Source organism: Homo sapiens, chromosome 1 (genome assembly GCF_000001405.40).
Source record: "Homo sapiens chromosome 1, GRCh38.p14 Primary Assembly".
In the NCBI taxonomy this organism is placed as follows: Eukaryota; Metazoa; Chordata; class Mammalia; order Primates; family Hominidae; genus Homo; species Homo sapiens.
The window spans coordinates 192,499,336-192,521,435 of NC_000001.11; the positions used below are offsets into that span (position 1 = coordinate 192,499,336).

The following is a 22,100-nucleotide window of genomic DNA, read 5'->3' on the forward strand; positions in this document are numbered from 1 at the left end:
GGCCGCTCCGAATGCGGGGCCGCGGGGCCCGCGGAGCCCACGCCCACCCGGAACTCACGCTGGCCCGCAAGCGTCCTGCGCAGCACCGGTTCCCACCGGCGCCTCTCCCTCCACACCTCCCTGCAAGCTGAGAGAGCCGGCTCTGGCCTTGGCCAGCCCAGAAAGGGGCTCCCACAGTGCAGCGGGGGGCTGAAGGGCTCTTCAAGCACGGCCAGAGTGGGTGCCAAGGCTGAGGAGGTGCCGAGAGCGAGCGAGGGCTGTGAGGGCTGCCAGCACGCTGTCACCTCTCACAAGTACTGTCACATTCTAAGGTACTGGGAGTTAGGACTTAAACAGAAGAATTTTCTGGGGACATGATTCAGCCCATAACACAACCCAAGAGACCACTAACTTCAGAATGGGCAGTCATTGTGATGGGTAAATTTTATGTGACAAGTTAACTAGACTACCATGCCCAGGTGTTTAGTCAAACACCAGGCTAGATGTTGCCATGAAGGTATTTTATAGATGTGGTTAACATATATAATTAGTTGACTTTGAGTAAAGGAGGCAACCTACTCTAATGTGCATCTCCTTCAGCCAATCCTTGAATAGCTTAAAAGCAAAGGTTGAGATGTCCTGGAGAAAAAGGAATTCTGCCTCAAGACTGTACCATAGAAATCCTGCCTGAGTTTCCAGCTCACTAGTCTGCCCTGCATATTGCAGACTGAAGACAGGGACATCAACTGTTACTTGAGTTTCCAGTCTGCTGACCTACCCTATGGATTTATACTTTCCAAGCCCCTACAACTGACTGAACCAATTTCTTAAATCTTATTGGTTCTATTTCTCTGGAGAATTCTACATGTTATAGTCATGCATGGAAAACTACTGTCATAAAAAGGACCAAAATATTCATACATACGTACAACATGGATAATGCTCAGAAATGCTATACTGCGTGGAAAAAAAAAAAGCCAGACAAAAAAAGGATGCATACTCCATCATCCCATTTATATGAAGCCCAAGAACAGGCAAAACTCATCTATGGTGATAGAAATAAGAAAATGGCTGTCTGGGGTAGATGAATGAGGATAGATATTGACTGAAAATAGACAAAAGGGACCTTCCTGGAGGGATGGAATTGTGCTATATCTTGTTTGCAGTGGTGTTTTCATGGATACGTACCTTTGTCAAAATTCAGAGACTTGAATAGTCAGGATCTATGCATTTCATTCTGTGTAAATTGTATCTTTAAAAAACAATATGTGGAGGAGCCAAGATGGCCGAATAGGAACAGCTCCGGTCTACAGCTCCCAGCAAGAGCGACGCAGAAGACGGGTGATTTCTGCATTTCCATCTGAGGTACCGGGTTCATCTCACTAGGGAGTGCCAGACAGTGGGCGCAGGCCAGTGGGTGTGCACACCGTGCGCGAGCCAAAGCAGGGCGAGGCATTGCCTCACCTGGGAAGCGCAAGGGGTCAGGGAGTTCCCTTTCCGAGTCAAAGAAAGGCGTGACGGACGCACCTGGAAAATTGGGTCACTCCCACCCGAATACTGCGCTTTTCAGACCGGCTTAAAAAACGGCGCACCACGAGACTATATCCCACACCTGGCTCGGAGGGTCCTATGCCCACGGAATCTCGCTGATTGCTAGCACAGCAGTCTGAGATCAAACTGCAAGGCGGCAGCGATGCTGGGGGAGGGGTGCCCGCCATTGCCCAGGCTTGCTTAGGTAAACAAAGCAGCCGGGAAGCTGGAACTGGGTGGAGCCCACCACAGCTCAAGGAGGCCTGCCTGCCTCTGTAGGCTCCACCTCTGGGGGCAGGGCACAGACAAACAAAAAGACAGCAGTAACCTCTGCAGACTTAAATGTCCCTGTCTGACAGCTTTGAAGAGAGCAGTGGTTCTCCCAGCACGCAGCTGGAGATCTGAGAACGGGCAGACTACCTCCTCAAGTGGGTCCCTGACCCCTGACCCCCGAGCAGCCTAATTGGGAGGCACTCCCCAGCAGGGGCACACTGACATCTCACACGGCAGGGTATTCCAACAGACCTGCAGCTGAGGGTCCTGTCTGTTAGAAGGAAAACTAACAAACAGAAAGGACATCCACACCAAAAACCCATCTGTACATCACCATCATCAAAGACCAAAAGTAGATAAAACCACAAAGATGGGGAAAAAACAGAACAGAAAAACTGGAAACTCTAAAAAGCAGAGCGCCTCTCCTCCTCCAAAGGAACGCAGTTCCTCACCAGCAACGGAACAAAGCTGGATGGAGAATGACTTTGACGAGCTGAGAGAAGAAGGTTTCAGACGATCAAATTACTCTGAGCTACGGGAGGACATTCAAACCAAAGGCAAAGAAGTTGAAAACTTTGAAAAAAATTTAGAAGAATGTATAACTAGAATAACCAATACAGAGAAGTGCTTAAAGGAGCTGATGGAGCTGAAAACCAAGGCTCGAGAACTACGTGAAGAATGCAGAAGCCTCAGGAGCCGATGCGATCAACTGGAAGAAAGGGTATCAGCAATGGAAGATGAAATGAATGAAATGAAGCGAGAAGGGAAGTTTAGAGAAAAAAGAATAAAAAGAAATGAGCAAAGCCTCCAAGAAATATGGGACTATGTGAAAAGACCAAATCTACGTCTGATTGGTGTACCTGAAAGTGAGGCGGAGAATGGAACCAAGTTGAAAAACACTCTGCAGGATATTATCCAGGAGAGCTTCCCCAATCTAGCAAGGCAGGCCAACATTCAGATTCAGGAAATACAGAGAGCGCCACAAAGATACTCCTCGAGAAGAGCAACTCCAAGACACATAATTGTCAGATTCACCAAAGTTGAAATGAAGGAAAAAATGTTAAGGGCAGCCAGAGAGAAAGGTCGGGTTACCCTCAAAGGGAAGCCCATCAGACTAACAGCGGATCTCTCGGCAGAAACCCTACAAGCCAGAAGAGAGTGGGGGCCAATATTCAACATTCTTAAAGAAAAGAATTTTCAACCCAGAATTTCATATCCAGCCAAGCTAAGCTTCATAAGTGAAGGAGAAATAAAATACTTTACAGACAAGCAAATGCTGAGAGATTTTGTCACCACCAGGCCTGCCCTAAAAGAGCTCCTGAAGGAAGCGCTAAACATGGAAAGGAACAACCGGTACCAGCCGCTGCAAAATCATGCCAAAATGTAAAGACCATCGAGACTAGGAAGAAACTGCATAAACTAATGAGCAAAATCACCAGCTAACATCATAATGACAGGATCAAATTCACACATAACAATATTAACTTTAAATGTAAATGGACTAAATTCTCCAATTAAAAGACACAGACTGGCAAGTTGGATAAAGAGTCAAGACCCATCAGTGTGCTGTATTCAGGAAACCCATCTCACGTGCAGAGACACACATAGGCTCAAAATAAAAGGATGGAGGAAGATCTACCAAGCAAATGGAAAACAAAAAAAGGCAGGGGTTTCAATCCTAGTCTCTGATAAAACAGACTTTAAACCAACAAAGATCAAAAGAGACAAAGAAGGCCATTACATAATGGTAAAGGGATCAATTCAACAACAAGAGCTAACTATCCTAAATATATATGCACCCAATACAGGAGCACCCAGATTCATAAAGCAAGTCCTGAGTGACCTACAAAGAGACTTAGACTCCCACACATTAATAATGGGAGACTTTAGCACCCCACTGTCAACATTAGACAGATCAACGAGACAGAAAGTTAACAAGGATACCCAGGAATTGAACTCAGCTCTGCACCAAGCGGACCTAATAGACATCTACAGAATTCTCCACCCCAAATCAACAGAATATACATTTTTTTCAGCACCACACCACACCTATTCCAAAATTGACCACATACTTGGAAGTAAAGCTCTCCTCAGCAAATGTAAAAGAACAGAAATTATAACAAACTATCTCTCAGACCACAGTGCAATCAAACTAGAACTCAGGATTAAGAATCTCACTCAAAGCCACTCAACTACATGGAAACTGAACAACCTGCTCCTGAATGACTACTGGGTACATAACGAAATGAAGGCAGAAATAAAGATGTTCTTTGAAACCAACGAGAACAAAGACACAACATACCAGAATCTCTGGGACACATTCAAAGCAGTGTGTAGAGGGAAATTTATAGCACTAAATGCCCACAAGAGAAAGCAGGAAAGATCCAAAATTGACACCCTAACGTCACAATTAAAAGAACTAGAAAAGCAAGAGCAAACACATTCAAAAGGTAGCAGAAGGCAAGAAATAACTAAAATCAGAGCAGAACTGAAGGAAATAGAGACACAAAAAACCCTTCAAAAAATCAATGAATCCAGGAGCTGGCTTTTTGAAAGGATCAACAAAATTGATAGACCGCTAGCAAGACTAATAAAGAAAAAAAGAGAGGAGAATCAAATAGACACAATAAAAAATGATAAAGGGGATATCACCACCGATCCCACAGAAATACAAACTACCATCAGAGAATACTACAAACACCTCTACGCAAATAAACTAGAAAATCCAGAAGAAATGGATACATTCCTCGACACATACACTCTCCCAAGACTAAACCAGGAAGAAGTTGAATCTCTGAATAGACCAATAACAGGAGCTGAAATTGTGGCAATAATCAATAGTTTACCAACCAAAAAGAGTCCAGGACCAGATGGATTCACAGCCGAATTCTACCAGAGGTACAAGGAGGAACTGGTACCATTCCTTCTGAAACTATTCCAATCAATAGAAAAAGAGGGAATCCTCCCTAACTCATTTTATGAGGCCAGCATCATTCTGATACCAAAGCCGGGCAGAGACACAACCAAAAAAAGAGAATTTTAGACCAATATCCTTGATGAACATTGATGCAAAAATCCTCAATAAAATACTGGCAAACTGAATCCAGCAGCACATCAAAAAGTTTATCCACCATGATCAAGTCGGCTTCATCCCTGGGATGCAAGGCTGGTTCAATATACGCAAATCAATAAATGTAATCCAGTATATAAACAGAGCCAAAGACAAAAACCACATGATTATCTCAATAGATGCAGAAAAAGCCTTTGACAAAATTCAACAACCCTTCATGCTAAAAACTCTCAATAAATTAGGTATTGAAGGGACGTATTTCAAAATAATAAGAGCTATCTATGACAAACCCACAGCCAATATCATACTGAATGGGCAAAAACTGGAAGCATTCCCTTTGAAAACTGGCACAAGACAGGGATGCCCTCTCTCACCGCTCCTATTCAACATAGTGTTGGAAGTTCTGGCCAGGGCAATCAGGCAGGAGAAGGAAATAAAGGGTATTCAATTAGGAAAAGAGGAAGTCAAATTGTCCCTGTTTGCAGACGACATGATTGTTTATCTAGAAAACCCCATCGTCTCAGCCCAAAATCTCCTTAAGCTGATAAGCAACTTCAGCAAAGTCTCAGGATACAAAACCAATGTACAAAAATCACAAGCATTCTTATACACCAACAACAGACAAACAGAGAGCCAAATCATGAGTGAACTCCCATTCACAATTGCTTCAAAGAGAATAAAATACCTAGGAATCCAACTTACAAGGGATGTGAAGGACCTCTTCAAGGAGAACTACAAACCACTGCTCAAGGAAATAAAAGAGGATACAAACAAATGGAATTACATTCCATGCTCATGGGTAGGAAGAATCAATATCGTGAAAATGGCCATACTGCCCAAGGTAATTTACAGATTCAATGCCATCCCCATCAAGCTACCAATGACTTTCTTCACAGAATTGGAAAAAACTACTTTAAAGTTCATATGGAACCAAAAAAGAGCCCGCATCGCCAAGTCAATCCTAAGCCAAAAGAACAAAGCTGGAGGCATCACACTACCTGACTTCAAACTATACTACAAGGCTACAGTAACCAAAACAGCATGGTACTGGTACCAAAACAGAGATATAGATCAATGGAACAGAACAGAGCCCTCAGGAATAACGCCGCATACATACAACTATCTGATCTTTGACAAACCTGAGAAAAACAAGCAATGGGGAAAGGATTCCCTATTTAATAAATGGTGCTGGGAAAACTGGCTAGCCATATGTAGAAAGCTGAAACTGGATCCTTTCCTTACACCTTATACAAAAATCAATTCAAGTTGGATTAAAGATTTAAACGTTAGACCTAAAACCATAAAAACCCTAGAAGAAAACCTAGGCATTACAATTCAGGACATAGGCGTGGGCAAGGACTTCATGTCCAAAACACCAAAAGCAATGGCAACAAAAGACAAAATTGACAAATGGGATCTAATTAAACTAAAGAGCTTCTGCACAGCAAAAGAAACTACCATCAGAGTGAACAGGCAACCTACAACATGGGAGAAAATTTTCGCAACCTACTCATCTGACAAAGGGCTAATATCCAGAATCTACAATGAACTCAAACAAATTTACAAGAAAAAAACAAATAACCCCATCAAAAAGTGGGCGAAGGACATGAACAGACACTTCTCAAAAGAAGACATTTATGCAGCCAAAAAATACATGAAAAAATGCTCATCATCACTGGCCATCAGAGAAATGCAAATCAAAACCACTATGAGATACCATCTCACACCAGTTAGAATGGCAATCATTAAAAAGTCAGGAAACAACAGGTGCTGGAGAGGATGTGGAGAAATAGGAACACTTTCACACTGTTGGTGGGACTGTAAACTAGTTCAACCATTGTGGAAGTCAGTGTGGCGATTCCTCAGGGATCTAGAACTAGAAATACCATTTGACCCAGCCATCCCATTACTGGGTATATACCCAAATGACTATAAATCATGCTGCTATAAAGACACATGCACACGTATGTTTATTGCGGCATTATTCACAATAGCAAAGACTTGGAACCAACCCAAATGTCCAACAACGATAGACTGGATTAAGAAAATGTGGCACATATACACCATGGAATACTATGCAGCCATAAAAAAGGATGAGTTCATGTCCTTTGTAGGGACATGGATGAAATTGGAAACCATCATTCTCAGTAAACTATCGCAAGAACAAAAAACCAAACACCGCATATTCTCACTCATAGGTGGGAATTGAACAATGAGATCACATGGTCACAGGAAGGGGAATATCACACTCTGGGGACTGTGGTGGGGTGGGGGGAGGGGGGAGGGGTAGCATTGGGAGATATACCTAATGCTAGATGACGAGTTAGTGGGTGCAGCGCACCAGCATGGCGCATGTATACATATGTAACTAACCTGCACAATGTGCACATGTACCCTAAAACTTAAAGTATAATAAAAAAAAAAAGAAAAAAAAACAATATGAAAAATTACATATTACCTTAAATTTCAATTATGTATATATATTTATTTCAAATATATTTCAAATATAAATTTTTCAAATGTTAAGTTTTTTATTCACTGTAGATGTAGCTACACTGAATAAAACATATGTGGATGTTTAGGAGTGACTTAACATTAACTCTAACCTTCTAACCATTGTCTACATTCCTTTTCCTGGCCATCTTTCAGAGACTTGTTTAACCATTAGGGGGACCCCTCAGGTCATGCAGGCAGTGTGCGACTACTCTTATTAGACATCCAATTTCAGGTTGGTGATCAGTTCATCCCAATCAGGTTCAATGTAACTCAGTCAATATTTACAACAGGAAACTTTAACTGGAGTGAAAGTTATAATTAATCTCTTCGTTATTTTGGTACAGATTACAGTTAAAATGTCACACATTAATTATATTCATGTGTATCATGTGTTGTTAACTACTTAGCTCACTTAAATATCCATTTCCCAGCTGTACTATAAATTCCTCACAGGCTAAGATCATGTTTTAATATTTTTCTGTGTCTCCCAAAAAGCTAAGACAGCCTAGATATATATATTTGGCAATTGGATTGATGAATAAATTAGGTGTGTTGTTTTGGCTTTGCCCGGGGAAAATAAGTTAACTCACTTCAGGCTCCCTTCCCCAGCCACTCCCCACACTCCCCCCGACCCTCCACTGAGTTATCCTATTCTATACCATTGAATAAAACCATTGAGTAAATCCATAAGTTTGATTTCAGCTCTCTGGAAGCATTTGATTCATTGTGAAATTTTTTCTCAAAATTATTATAAAATACAATTTAAAAAGGGAATATATGGAGCAAGAGGACAACAGGGAGATGGTGGAGGAGGAGGAAAAAGAAAATGAAGAAAGCAAAGGAGGAGGAGGGGGAAGAGATGATGAGGATAAAGAAGAAATGTAGAAATTGCAAGTACACAAAATCAGGAATCTTTTAAAAGACTGGTTTTATCCTCAAAATTCTTAGGCATAAACGCCATCTCTCTGAATGACTTAAAAAATCAATATAAAGCTTGATTCTATGGTTTATTGATTCTATATTTCAATTATCCCTAATTAAAATGTCTGCTTTGATTTTAATTTCTAAACAAGGGGAAAAAATTACAGGAATTTCTTTTAAATGTACTATTTCATCCTCAACCCAGTGGATGCCATTCCACTATATTTAGTGAATTCCAGTAATATAAATATATATGATATTCTTGCATATAGATACATATATATTCTTATGCACGAAATTGAGTGGTACTTATTTTCAAAGGATTTAGTAGGAGACGAATATATAAGTGAGTGGCTCTTTCTCCCTAGGATCACAGACCTGTTGCTCCAACTAAAATAAAAAGTATATTCGATTTAAGATATTATGACTCTTTATGATTGACTCAACACATATTTATTGAGCCCTTACTATGCACCTAATACTCTCTTAGTACCTGAATGCTACCTATCCATAAATGAGTGAATAATATTTATAAAGAAATATGGCATAGAAGACTGAAACAGAGAACAACGTGAGATGGAAAATAATCAGGTGCCTTAAATATAATATGGACGATAAGGGCTATTTAAAATCTAAAGGATAGAATAATTGAAGAGTGCTCTGAGATACATTTCCTTATCATCTACACAGCACAACTAATAACATCCTATGAATGTTTTAAATATCAAATGAAATAATAATATATATAAGAAGAGTTAAGTATCCACTATGTATGTAAGAAATTTGCCAGGCACGATGGCTCATGCCTGTAATCCCAGCACTTTTTTGGGAGACCGAGGCGGGCGGATCACGAGGTCAGGAGATCGAGACCATCCTGGCTAACATGGTGAAACCCCATCTCTACTAAAAATACAAACAATTAGCCGGGCGTGGTGGCAGGCACCTGTAGTCCCAGCTACTCGGGAGGCTGAGGCAGGAGAATGGCGTGAACCGGGAAGCGGAGCTTGCAGTGAGCGGAGGTTGCACCACTGCACTCCAGCCTGGGTGAGAGAGCGAGACTCATCAAAAAAAAAAAAAAAAAAAAGAAATTAAAATGGACCAGGTGAAAACAGGCTTACAGAAGTAAAAAAACCTCTAAATTCACATAGAAAGAGACACTGCAACCATGATGAGTATCCACAACATTTCTAGTCCTATGCTTAATAATGTTAAAAGAAAAACTTCAGCCAAATTAAATTTAAAGGAGTTTAATTGAACAATGAACGATTCGTGAATCAGGCAGCTCCCAGAATCATGGCAGATTCAGAAGGACTCCAGGTATGCCTCGTGGTCAGAACAGATTTATAGACAAAAAAAAAGAAAAGTGACGTATAGAAATCAGAGGTGAGGTACAGAACAGCTGGAGTGATTACAGGTTGGCATTTACCTTATTTGAATACAGCTTGAACACTCAGCAGTGAATGACTGGTTGAAGTATGGCTGCTGGGACTGGCCAAGACTCAGCCACTGTTAATAGGCCCATACTCCTAAATTAGGGTTTCAATCTTGTCTACCCACTAGATTAGGCTGCAGTTCCTCCACAAGGACTCAAATATAGTATAGAGTCCTTCTCAGGCCATATTTAGTTTGCTTTAACAATTATGGAAGAATTTTTATAAAGTATTACATAACATCAAGTATTTGATGATAGGAGACATAGGTGATAGGAGATAAAGTCATAGAGACAAGGAGGGCAAAGGTGCACAGCATCTTATAATGATGTTGTCTTCACTCTTACTAAGGTAAGAATTTTTATGAAGTATTACATTCATTAAATATTTGATTGCTTTATCTGTCATACCAGTAAAAATGTGTTCATAAATACATATCATAAGGTGGCAGGCAATAAATACAAAATATGTAGTATGGTACATGTTGATAACTACTAAGGACAAGCACAAGCAGGGAAAAGAGATAGAAATTATGGGTTAGTGGGGGGAATTGTAATTTCAATTTAGATGACCAGAGACAGCCCCACTGAAAAGGTATCATTTGAGCAAAGACCTGAGAGTTGAGGTGAGGAACAATGACATGTAACTATTTGGAGGAACGGCATTTCAGGTAGAAGAACAACATCAGTAGCAGTTCTGACGGGGGTGAGGCCTGTTGTGTTTGAGAAACAGCCAGGTGAGCAGTGTGCCTGGAGGCATGAGTGAGAGGAGGATGATAGGAGACAAAGACACAGAGGCAAGGAGGGTGAAGCTGCACAGCGTCTTATAATGACGTTGTCTTCACTCTTACTAAGGTAAGAAGCCATTAGAAGGTCGTGACCAGAGAAATGAAATTATTGTTTATGGTAGGAGATTATTCTGGCTGGTGTCACTGGTGAAATGGAGAGAATAGTTATAAAGTTATCATTGCAATTAGGTGAAGAGATGATAGGGGCTTGGACCAGGATGGTTGCAGTGAATGTTGTGAGAAGTGTTTGGATCCTCAACTCTACTGTCAAATTGTTTACAGCCCAGTTAGGAGAAAAAGTCTGGGAAACTTTAATGTATTTTTTAAAAAGAGAGAGAAATAAATCGTTAGAAGCTAAATGATATGAGTACAATTACAAATTTAAGAGTGATTTGGGAAAAGCAAATTGAACAATGTGACAGAAAGGTGACTGATTAATAGTGTTTTAATAAAAATAATAATTGCTGACATTCATTGTGTTCATTACATGCCAGGTGCCAGGCATAGTGCCTTACGTGTGATATCTCAATTAATCTCCACCAAAAACCTATGATAAGTTGCTGCTACTGTCCCATTTCCTATATGCTATAAGAGGAAATCAAAGAAAGAATGTCTGGAAAGGTTAATAAGTTGTTCAAAGGACATAGCTGTAATTTCGTCATGATTTGGCTTTCATGAGAGCCCAAGCTCAACACTGACACGCTATTCTGATTTGCCATATAGGTGGAGGGGGAAATAAGACATTCTCAGTGGGTGAATCCATGTGAGTGAAGGTTAGGAATTCAAATGTTTTGTGTGTGCATGAGAATCGCAGGTCTGGAGCAGAAGGTTCATTTTGGGGAACAATAAAAGAAATAGTGGAGACTGAAAAGTATAAACAGATTTTAGAAGTCCTCCAGAGCTAGCCAAAAAAGCTTTCATTGTATCCAGGAGAGCCTGGGAATCTAAGATGAACATGGAAGGAGAAAAATTATTATTATTATTATTTATTATTATTATTATTATTTTGAGACGGAGTCTTGCTCTGTTGCCCAGGCCAGAGTGCAATGGCGTCATTTCAGCTGACTGCAACCTCCACCTCCGGGTTCAAGCAATTCTCCTGCCTCAGCCTCCTGAGTAGCTGGGATTACAGGCATGTGCCACCACGCCTGGCTAATTTTTTTGTATTTTAAGTAGAGACAGGGTTTCACCATATTGGCCAGGCTGGTCTCAAATTCCTGACCTTGTGATCCACCCGCCTCAGCCTCCCAAAGTGCTGGGATTACAGGCATGAGCCACGGCACACAGCCAAGAAAAATTAATTTAAGATTATCTGGCTCCCAGGTACAAGATGAGCTGGGGGCAGTAGAGATCTGGCAAGTAGAATAGCAAGAAAGAAACATGATCATTTATATATGAGGTAATAAGAACTAGTAAAAGTAGGGATTGAAAGGTACATGTCAGCATATTTCCCAGAGTTTTTTTTTCAAAATCCAGGAGAGAATTTGGTTCTGAGTTGTTTACTAAAAATATTGAATTACAATCCATGCCATGTCCACAATTAGTTGTGTGAATTTGGGCAGGTTATTTATTTGAGAAGTTTCTTCATCCATAAATAAAGTTGTATTAGATTATATTTAATGTTTTCTTCCTTTTATATTATGATTAAGATGTGTTTGCTGATTTGTTTTAAAGTTACAGTTTAGAAAAATATAAGAGCCTTTAGCATCTATTTCTTTCAAGGCATTAAGATTAAATTTCACTGAGTGTGTGGCGCTATGTTTGGAACAAAGAAGATGCACGGAAATACTCCCTGTGTTGAACTGAATTTAACTGAAACTTAAAAATTATCAAAGAAAAAGAATAAATTCTAGCCTTATCCCTGTATCTATTAAAGACTGAATATCAAAAAATAAAATGTTTAGAATTGGTCTAGATTCTTCCATTGTCCTGCTGAATTTCTTGGCCAGTGATATTCCAAGTGTGGTTCCTGGACCAGACTATGGGTTACTAAATAATTTATATATAATTTGTGTGTGTGTGCACGTGTGTGTGTGTGTGTGTGTGTGTGTGTAAAATCGCCTCAGGCATTTTTCCACACTGGAAGTCACCTCACAGCCTTAGGTAGCAAAACTATGCCTAGAATAGCTGTATTATTCCAGAACTTTTTTAATATTCCTAGATACTCTTTATGAATGAATCCAAAAAGCAAAAGACAGAAGCAGCCTGATTGAGAAGGCCTTGCTCCTTGTTTCTAAGAAAACTATTATACAAAGTGAAACAATATAAACAAGATTTATTTGTTTGTTGCCTAATCTTTTAACCCAGACAGATGATCATCTATAATGGCTTTGTTTTTCAGCTTTTTCTGCCTCCTGTTGTTCAGAGTAATGACGTGGAGAGAGCTCAAGCCTGAGGAACTAATAGGTATTAGTTCAAAATCCAATTCTGCTGTGCAATCTCAGACATGTTTCATAAACTCTCCATGCCTCAGTTTCCTTATCTCATTTCTCAGATTTCTTATCTGATAAATAAATAAGACACTATAATAATAGCATAGTATTTGGCACAAATGAAGTACTCAACAGATCTGTGTTCCCTTCCTCCATCTCTAATTTGTGAATATTATTTCTGAACCTCTTTCTTAAACCCTAGAACTAACGTAGGAAATAACTTCTCCTCCACCCCATCCATGGTGTTATACATGGAGGAAATACACATTTGGGGAAGTGCACAGCTCAAGTGACTCTAACCCTGGATTTCCAGCTGATCCCACCCCAGAACCACCCACAGGGAAAAGGAAGAGAAACCACTTCCCACAGCTGGGGCTTTCCTCATTTCCGAAGCTACAGAAGAATGATCATAGTACTCAGAGGAAGCACTGCTGGCCTGGAGGTCATTTGCCACAGAGGGAGTTCAATAGCCCCTTAGTCCTGTCAGGGCTTCTCCCTTATCCCACATTACTCATCTGTAACCTAGTACTTTAAGTAAAATCTTGTCTTTTGCAAAGTAAAGAACATTAATCTTCCACCTTTTACATTCCTACTTTCTCAATTTATGCTTTGTTTGAATAACAAGAATGGAGGAGATAAGGGGAACAACTGTACTTCCTAATGGTTAGTCCACAAAAAGCCATTAGCATTCACTGTAAACAGCATTCATCAATGTGCTGTCTTAGGTCAGGATCAACTTCCTTATCTAAACTTGAGAAGGGACTGCCCTTTTTTCTCTATCTCACTTATAATACTTGTGGGTGGCAGAAATGACAGCAATCACACACTGTCACACAAGAATGAATCTGACACTTCACTGTTGAAATTCTATTATCTTTTATCTCTTTGATATCCTTTACATTAAACTTAATTCTCAAGTTCTCCAATTGGTGTCTACATCAGACTTGTAAAGAGTTATAGAAATTATAGGAGTCAAAAATAGTTTAAAAGCCTTGTGATATGGATATATGTAAGAAATACTCTTCTTTGAATAGTGAAATACCTTAGCTCTCTAGTTCAGCTAATGTACATATTTTCAAAGCAGGGAAAAGACAGCTGTGTGGATGTAGAGAAGTAGGGGAGAGGAGAGGGTGGATTTGCATTAATGATGGGGCTTCAGTGGGAAGGAAGGAAGGAAGGAAGGAAGGAAGGAAGGAAGGAAGGAAGGAAGGAAGGAAAGAAGGAAAGAAGGAAAGAAGGAAAGAAGGAAGGAAGGGCAGGAGGGAGAAAATAGCTAGCTTCATTTTAGTTTCAAGTTAAATGAAATACAAAAATAAAACCACATTCATTTCTCCCTAAGCGTTGATACAGATACATAAATAAAGTATTGTCAGAAAGATGCTGTCTAACTTTAAATAATTTAAAGTTACAGAAAAGAATCAATTTTCCTGATGTTTATCCCTTCAAAATCTTAAGACTCCTTCTTAGTGTGATTTGGACCAAAAATAAAATAGAACCAGGCAAAAACAAAACAAAACAAAAAAAAACAAACAAGACATCTCTTGTTTTTTAATTTACCCTACACAGGATGCTTGTACTATAAGGTAAGCTGTTGGCTGCTCTTCAGCATACCACTGCTTTCCTGACTTCCACTGGTAGGCAGGAAGCTTGGCTCTTTGGGCCGGCACAGGCCTTCTCAGTATGGAAGTAGGATTACACACCATTGAGTGTGTAATCAAATCAGTCAAAGTACTCCTCATCTCTACCTGGTCCTTTCCCTTTCATTTCATCCCAGAACCCACCATCAACTCAAGTTGATTCATCATTATTAACCAACAAACTTTGATCATTTTTAAATTATTCATAATTAATTCACTTTGGCTACATGTTTATGAGTGTAAAGCAAAATATATGCCTCATGATCTCAAAAATGGTTCTAAATAATAAGATCTGGGCCAGTGTTATGTAAGTTAATTTTCTTTTGCAAATGTTTGGGCTTGATCAGATTACAGAGATTTTTTTTTTCCTTTGCCAGGATTCCTAAAGACATTTCTGGTTTCCGAGAACAGAAGGGTTTATTATTCCAATCTGTTGTTAGCACCTTGGAAACCAAAGACATTTATTAGATTGCCCTTTATAAAACTACATTTAGTAACCAGTATGCCAAGATTTACATTAGATTCTCTTTGTTATAGTGATTTCTGCTGATACATATACTATGCTAGGAAGATTCCAGTCAGTGATTGTGAAATATCTCCTATATTATTTGAATTAAATAGGCTATGGTCAAGTCTTAAAACTCAAAGATATATATATCTATAGGTACATACATAGACAGATACATACCACTAGATATAGATATATATTTGCCACTGTAAATAGTTCATATTTTATTGCTATTAACTCTTTCAACCACTAAATGTCTAAGGTTATGAATTCATCAAATATACAAATGCAATTTTTTTTTTGAGACAGAGTCTCACTCTGTCACTCATGCTGGAGTGCATGGCACTATCTCAGCTCACTGCAACCTCTGCCTCCCAGGTTCAAGTGATTCTCCCACCTCAGCCTCCCAAGTAGCTGGGATTACAGGTGTGCACCACTGCACCTGGCTAATTTTTGTATTTTTAGTAGAGATGGGGTTTCACCATGTTGGCCAGGCTGGTCTCGAACTCCTGACCTCAGGTGATCCACCTGCTTCAACCTCCCAAAGTGCTGGGATTACAGGCGTGAACCACTGCACCCGGCCAGTGCAATGATTTCTAAGGCAACCAACAAGGAGTAAGATTTATATTTATTAAGCATCCGTTATATACTTGGTTTCATGCCAGATGCTTTATATTTATTATATTGTTTAATTTTTTATAGCATTCTAAATCTAACCCCATGATTCAGAGTTGACGTGAAGCTATCGTATAGCCAATCCAATTTTTTTTTTTAAGACAGGGTCTTGCTCTGTCCCCCAGCCTGGAGTGCAGTGGTGCAATCATGGTTCACTACAGCCTCAACCTCCTGGGCCCAAGCAATCCTCCCATCTCAGTCTCCCTAGTGGCTGGGACTTCAGGCCTGTGCACCACGATGCCCAGCTAAGTTTTGCATTTTTTGTAGAGACAAGGTTTTGCCATGCTGCGCAGGCTGGTCTCAAACTCCTAAGGTCAAGCGATCCACCTACCTCAGCTTCCCAAAGTGCTGGGATTACGGGTATGAGCCACCATACTTGGCCCACGAATCTAATTTTCTATGAAAGGAAAGGCACTAAAATCAACAAGTCCTGTTGAAAGTATCCGCTGTTTAGGGCCAAAGAAGCCAGGACACACATTCTGCCTCTACAGTGTGTTCTGAAACTCCAAATCCTTGTTTTTCATTTATAAACCAGGGATAATAACTATCTCATGATGGGTTGGTGATGGTTACAAGAGACAATGTAAAAGAGTAGCTATGAAGTAGGGACTAAATTAACATCAGTTTACTTCTTCTACGTGCTCCTTCTTCTTCTCCTTCCTTTTTCCCTATAGGTTTCTCTCCTGTCTTATAATCCACTTATGTTGGATAGGTAACTAAAAAATAAAATCGAAAATGGTAAAGCTGAAAGCGGCTGTAGTGGCCTTTTTTAAAAAATGAAGAGAATAAGGTCCAAGTGTTTAAAGATATAAACACAGCTAAGCAGTGGCAAATATACTAAAAAATGATCCCAAGTTCAATGTATTTTTCACTCTATCTAGATAATGTGTATAGCTAAATTAAGTTAGTTCATGTTTCACCCACCCTCCAGAATCCCTTCCATTCTAAACTCAATCAAGAATTTTTCAGCACCCAGGTTTTTACTACAGATAGCGCTTGTAAAGTTCCATGTGCCTCAAAAATGGACACAATGGCAACCTGGAGATACTACCCATGTACCCTGTTTAAAGGTTGCAGCCACTGTTTAGTTTCAAAAAATTATTGCTATGCAGAAATTTTGACCTACGGTTGCTAGATATTTTTCAAGAACAGAGTATCAGTGTAAATCTGAGTATCAGTGTAAAATTTTCTATTTTTTTTAACATTAAGAAGGCAAAATAAACCACCAGTTCGTGCCTTTCATGATAATGTCTAGAATGGAGGAAACAAGCTTTGGATAATCCAAGAACATCCATGCAAGTTCTCCTCTCAATAAAGGAATTAGGGGAGAATAGAGGAGAACTCTTTTTCCTCCCAGTTTCTGTTTTCACTTGCCTGCATTTTAAATTGAGTAAAAAGTGATCCTGAATGAGTCTGTTCTATCATATTTCCCTTCACTCTCTTTGAAGTTCAGGGCTCAAAAGTAGGAGATTAGTAAACATTTATCAATTAATTCATTGGTTGTGGGACTACTATTAATTTCTCCACCTCTCAGATTTCTTTATTTCTCCATCTCTTGATTTATTTTTTCTGCAAACACTCATTCAATAAACAGTCACTAAGCACCTGTCAGGCCCTGTGCTGGAGATGATGAAGAAATAAATAACAAATAGTCCCTGCCTTCGAAGAACTCCTAGTGTAGAGCAAGAGCTGAATATGTAAGCAAATAACTCTTTATGATGGTATGTAAAAGTTATACCGAGCATGATTAGCTTTAAAGTGGCATTTGCTTTACTTACAACCCGCCACATTGCCACAAAAGAGCTCAGAAGCTTAAAAAAAAAAAAGTGCAGCTGTCAGTAGTGATTAACACAACGGCTAGACACTGTGTATGAGAACGGATATAGGTGGTTTTATAAGGATCATGTGGTTAAGTGGGACACGCATGTTGAACAGAGTCTGCAGACATTTTGCCCAAAACTTCCTTTTGCAGTGTGCACATGTAAATGAGCCTTGCGTGGAAGTTTTTGCTTCCGGAATAAGATTGACTAGCCAGTGAAGCTCCTTATTACTCATTTCAGCAATCATTTGCTTTTCTTGATGCAATATATAAAACGTGTACAAAATACAGCAAAGGAACTTAGGTCACCCACGTTAACTTAGGACGTTTCTGTTGACTAACTTTGGGCGTTCTATTTATTAAAATTTGAAAGTCATAAATGCTGGGCTTAAAAGAAAAGAATCTCTCAGAACCTGAAATGAAAATTTAGCATTATATGACAGTTTTGAGAAAAATGATTCAGAGTTCTTTAAAAATTAAACTTCCCAAATGATTCTAGATTGAATTATATTCTGAATACCTAATATCTGCAGATTACTGTTTTAGATGCTATAGAGACAAAAAGTAGGTATATTAGCCTTCTAATCCTTAAAGAATCTGTAGTCCAATTGGGGAAGTAAGCACAAGGCAGGTGAAAAAGAGAAATAATAAAACAAAGCAGCATACAATAAATTTCCAAATGACTAATGCCAATAATCAGAGATATGTGTGCAATTAGATAACAATAACTGAGTTAGAGCCATCTAGAAAGAAATCGTACTTGATGTGAGTCTTGCAGAAGGGAATAATTTGGATAAAACAGGAGAATAATTGGTGTATAAAGGAGAAAGAAGAGTGGAGCAAAAACATAGGTGTAGATAAGCTTCAGAGAAATTTAGGAAGCAGGGATCAGACTCCCCCGGCTGTAGCAGAGGAACCCTGGGAGGACAACGAGGACTTGGAGGGAATGAAGGTTGAAGTGAGACAAACAAGAACATGAATGCAAAGCCATGGAGTTCAGACCTCCTCCCACAGGTAACGATGAGCCACTGGATATTTTCTCTTAGCTGAGTCATGTGATGAACCTGGAGGCTGCATGAAGGAAAAAGGCAAGGAGTCATAGTTAGAACTAGGTATGTTGAGAGAGATGTAAGAACTTCATCAGGCTAACAACTTGACATTTCTTCAAATATATATATTCTTTAAATAGAATGTTCAATATTTCTTTAGAAGGATTAGAAGAAACTAGCTTTATTTTATTTTATTTTATTTTATTTTATTTTATTTTATTTTATTTTATTTTATTTTTGGAGACAGAGTGTCGCTCTGTCACCCAGGCTGGAGTGCAGTGGAGCAATCTCAGCTCACTGCAACCTCTGCCTCCCAGGTTCAAGTGATTCTTCTGCCTCAGCCTCCCTAGTAGCTGGGACTACAGGTGCGTGCCACCACGCCCAGCTAATTTTTGTATTTTTAGTAGAGACAGAGTTTCACCATATTGGCCAGGCTGGTCTTGAACTCTTGACCTTGTGATCTGCCTGCCTCGGCCCCCCAAAGTTCTGAGATTACAGGCGTGAGCCACCACGTCCAGCCTGGGAGAAACTAACTTTCTATTAGTGTAGATTATATTCCACTTTATATTAAAAACAGATTTATTGTGTTGACTTAGCCTTGCGTAGAAGTTTTTGCTTGAATTTTCAAAGGCTTTGTCGTTTTTTCAGAATCAATTATAAAATTCTATCAATATGAATATATGAACATATGGATTTCCAAGTGTACGATCCCTAGCATGAATAGTATATAGCATTTTCACTCTTTTGGAATTTTCTGGTTTTCAGGTTGTTTCCTACTTTTCAAAATTCATATTTTCCTTCTATTTTCCTCTGTGATTTCTTGTAACATTTGGCTACTTGTCATAGATTTGAGAATATAAATAATATTTATATTCAGTAAATAGTGCTATGTCATGCATTATTCATTTTCAGAGTTTCAGTGTACTTACTTAACCACCCACCACCTCACAAGCTGAGAATGACTCTCAGCTGACTAGTTTCAAGTTAGTGGTGTGGCCTTTATGCACCATAGAGCTTCCATGTATGTTCCCCAAATACTAAGCCAAGATGGGTCAATGTCAGTGAGAATGTATTTGATTTCATTATGTACTTTTCATTTTTCATTACATGTTTATATTAGGTATTTATTTTATATATTTTACTATGTATGTATTTTCAGCCTTGGGCATTGCTTCCTTTGGCTAGAGTAAGACCAAGATTCATTTTGCCAAGTTTGAAAAAGGTATAGTTGGAGAACTGAGTGACCTGGCACTTCATTGATTATATAGATATTATATATTTATATGATATATTCATTATAGTATATAAATTTATTATATAGATTTATTATATAGATTATATAGATTTAGTATATAGATATTATAAGGTCACATAAATAAATAGCCCAGATATCTGGTTGACCAGCCCTCCTCTTAACCTGAATATGATTACGACAAATCAAACTTCCCCTTTTAACAATTAGTTTAATACAATCTATTTAATAGCTCTGAAATGGTTGCTGCATATCCTATCAGAAACTAGAGTAGGCCACACACTAGAGTTTATATTTGTGCAACTATATTCCATAGGATCATCCAAGCTTAAGGTCCAATTTGGGAGTGGTTTGACATCTCTGGCCTGGTCCTGAATTTATTAAGTTGTCTTTGGGGTTCTTACTCTTATCTGCTAAAAATGCAGGAAGGCAGCAGAATCATCTTTCTTGGGTTCAACATTAAATTACATTTTTTTTATTTTTTATTTTTTATAGAGATGGGGTCTTGCTCTGTTGCCCAGGCTGGTCTCAAAGTTCTGGGCTCAAGCAATCTGCCTGCCTCCCAAAGCGCTGGGATTACAGGCATGAGCCACAGCACCCAGCCCCAAATTACATGATTTTACCACATGACCCACAGTACCTTTATTAGGCTGTAAAGTTCTGTAACACTGAACCATTTGAAGAGAAGTGAAATCCATAAGTAATAAGGTAACTTGCTTTACAGAATTAATTTGCCACCTTTTTTTTTTTTTAAAAAAAGTAGGCTACTTTAGTAAATCAAAATACTCTAAAATATACCTACCCATTTTCTCACACCCATGGCCAAACGAAAAACTTTCCAAAAAGTAAAATTCACAAAACAAAATTCTAAACAGAAAGACTAACACAGGCTTTGTTTTGTGTTTTCATTTTAAAGAAGGATTCTTATTTAAGGCCATAAAAATATACAAACATTATCATAATTAGAAACCTTAGTTCTCTAAGAGGCCATCATAAACAATGTATAAAACTATTCTAGGTTTCAAAACTGATCATATGCATGTATTATATGCGTAGAATATTGTGACAAACAAGTCGCAATTCTGTCTGCGTAGTGTTCTGTCAGCTGTGGGGAATACATTGGTGTTTTTGTCCACACACGCCAGAGATGAATATGAGAAAACCCACGTCACCGCTGAAAGTATAGACCTAGTTAACAGTCTTAGGGAAGAACCAATGAGAAGTACTTCTGTGAGCCTGCATGCCAAAAGGAATATTAATTCTCTTCAAGTATTGTCATACTTTTCAACCCCAAGATTAAACTCTTGTCCACATAATCCTGAGTATATGGGAGAAGGGATGCTGTTTCTCCCTCAAAAGAATCTTCCCCAACTGCTGCTGTCTGAGGGTCTGCAGTGAAGCCTACTGTCAACAGAAATACACTTTGAAGTGCAGGTTGAGCATCACTAATCCAAAATTCCAAAATCCAAAATGTTTCAAAACCCAAGACTTCTTGAGCACCTGCATGATGCCGCAAGTGGAAAATTTCACCCCTGAGCTCATTTAACAGGTCAGTGTGAAAACACAAGGGCCCAACACAGTTTATTCAGTTTCCCCAAGGAAAAAAAGACACCCACTCTGCCCTCTTTCTTTAAATACATCTTTTTCACACATGCCCAGTTTCCCCCACACAAGCGCAACCACAAGGGTAATATCAAAACTTTGTTTTATGCACAAAATTACTTAAAGTATTGTATAAAATTATCTTCAGGCTATGTGTATATGATATATATGAAACATAATAAATTTCGTATTTAGACTTGGGTCCCATCTCCAAGATACCTCATTATCTGTATGCAAATATTCCAAAATCAGAAGAAATCTGCAATTCAAAACACTCCTGGCCCCAAACGTTTAGGATAAGGGATATTCAAACTGTGTATATACATATATATACAGTTAACTATGTCTATATATATAGGCTATATATACATATAAAACTATGTCTATATATACAGACTATATATATATATAAATATGTATATAAATATATAATTTTCCCAAGACATAGTTCCAAAACTGTGCATTTGTGAAATAATAATTATGAGATCCTTTCCTTATTGCAGAAACACAATCTTGCTATAGTTTGGGTTTGATTACCTTGCCTATCTAATGTAATACAGAAGAACACACACAACACTCACCATGAGAAGATGTGTGGGCACTGCCATTTATTACCTAGGACACCTGGAGATAGACACTT

At 38.9% G+C, this 22,100-nt stretch overlaps 1 long non-coding RNA gene across 1 annotated transcript in view, besides 5 other annotated features; it reads right to left on the bottom strand.

Moving 5' to 3' along the window:
* Nucleotides 930-1,511: an enhancer, noted in NCBI's record as "H3K27ac-H3K4me1 hESC enhancer chr1:192469395-192469976 (GRCh37/hg19 assembly coordinates)". NCBI's record gives its function as "activates a minimal SCP1, AML or CMV promoter by ChIP-STARR-seq in primed H9 embryonic stem cells {active_cell/tissue: H9 hESC(primed)}" and the evidence as "EXISTENCE:reporter gene assay evidence [ECO:0000049][PMID:30033119]".
* Nucleotides 1,512-2,093: an enhancer, noted in NCBI's record as "H3K27ac-H3K4me1 hESC enhancer chr1:192469977-192470558 (GRCh37/hg19 assembly coordinates)". NCBI's record gives its function as "activates a minimal SCP1, AML or CMV promoter by ChIP-STARR-seq in primed H9 embryonic stem cells {active_cell/tissue: H9 hESC(primed)}" and the evidence as "EXISTENCE:reporter gene assay evidence [ECO:0000049][PMID:30033119]".
* LOC105371664 (uncharacterized) overlaps nucleotides 13,778-22,100 on the bottom strand; it is a 115,921-nt gene continuing 107,598 nt past the window's right edge. Inside the window, exon 5 of the long non-coding RNA XR_002958418.2 lies at nucleotides 13,778-18,628. This is a non-coding gene — a long non-coding RNA (uncharacterized LOC105371664). The remainder of the gene's footprint in view (nucleotides 18,629-22,100) is intronic.
* Nucleotides 17,303-17,422: an enhancer, noted in NCBI's record as "active region_2257". NCBI's record gives its function as "activates an Ori minimal core promoter by ATAC-STARR-seq in GM12878 lymphoblastoid cells {active_cell/tissue: GM12878}" and the evidence as "EXISTENCE:reporter gene assay evidence [ECO:0000049][PMID:35858748]".
* Nucleotides 17,483-17,602: an enhancer, noted in NCBI's record as "active region_2258". NCBI's record gives its function as "activates an Ori minimal core promoter by ATAC-STARR-seq in GM12878 lymphoblastoid cells {active_cell/tissue: GM12878}" and the evidence as "EXISTENCE:reporter gene assay evidence [ECO:0000049][PMID:35858748]".
* Nucleotides 19,485-19,664: a silencer, noted in NCBI's record as "silent region_1651". NCBI's record gives its function as "represses an Ori minimal core promoter by ATAC-STARR-seq in GM12878 lymphoblastoid cells {active_cell/tissue: GM12878}" and the evidence as "EXISTENCE:reporter gene assay evidence [ECO:0000049][PMID:35858748]".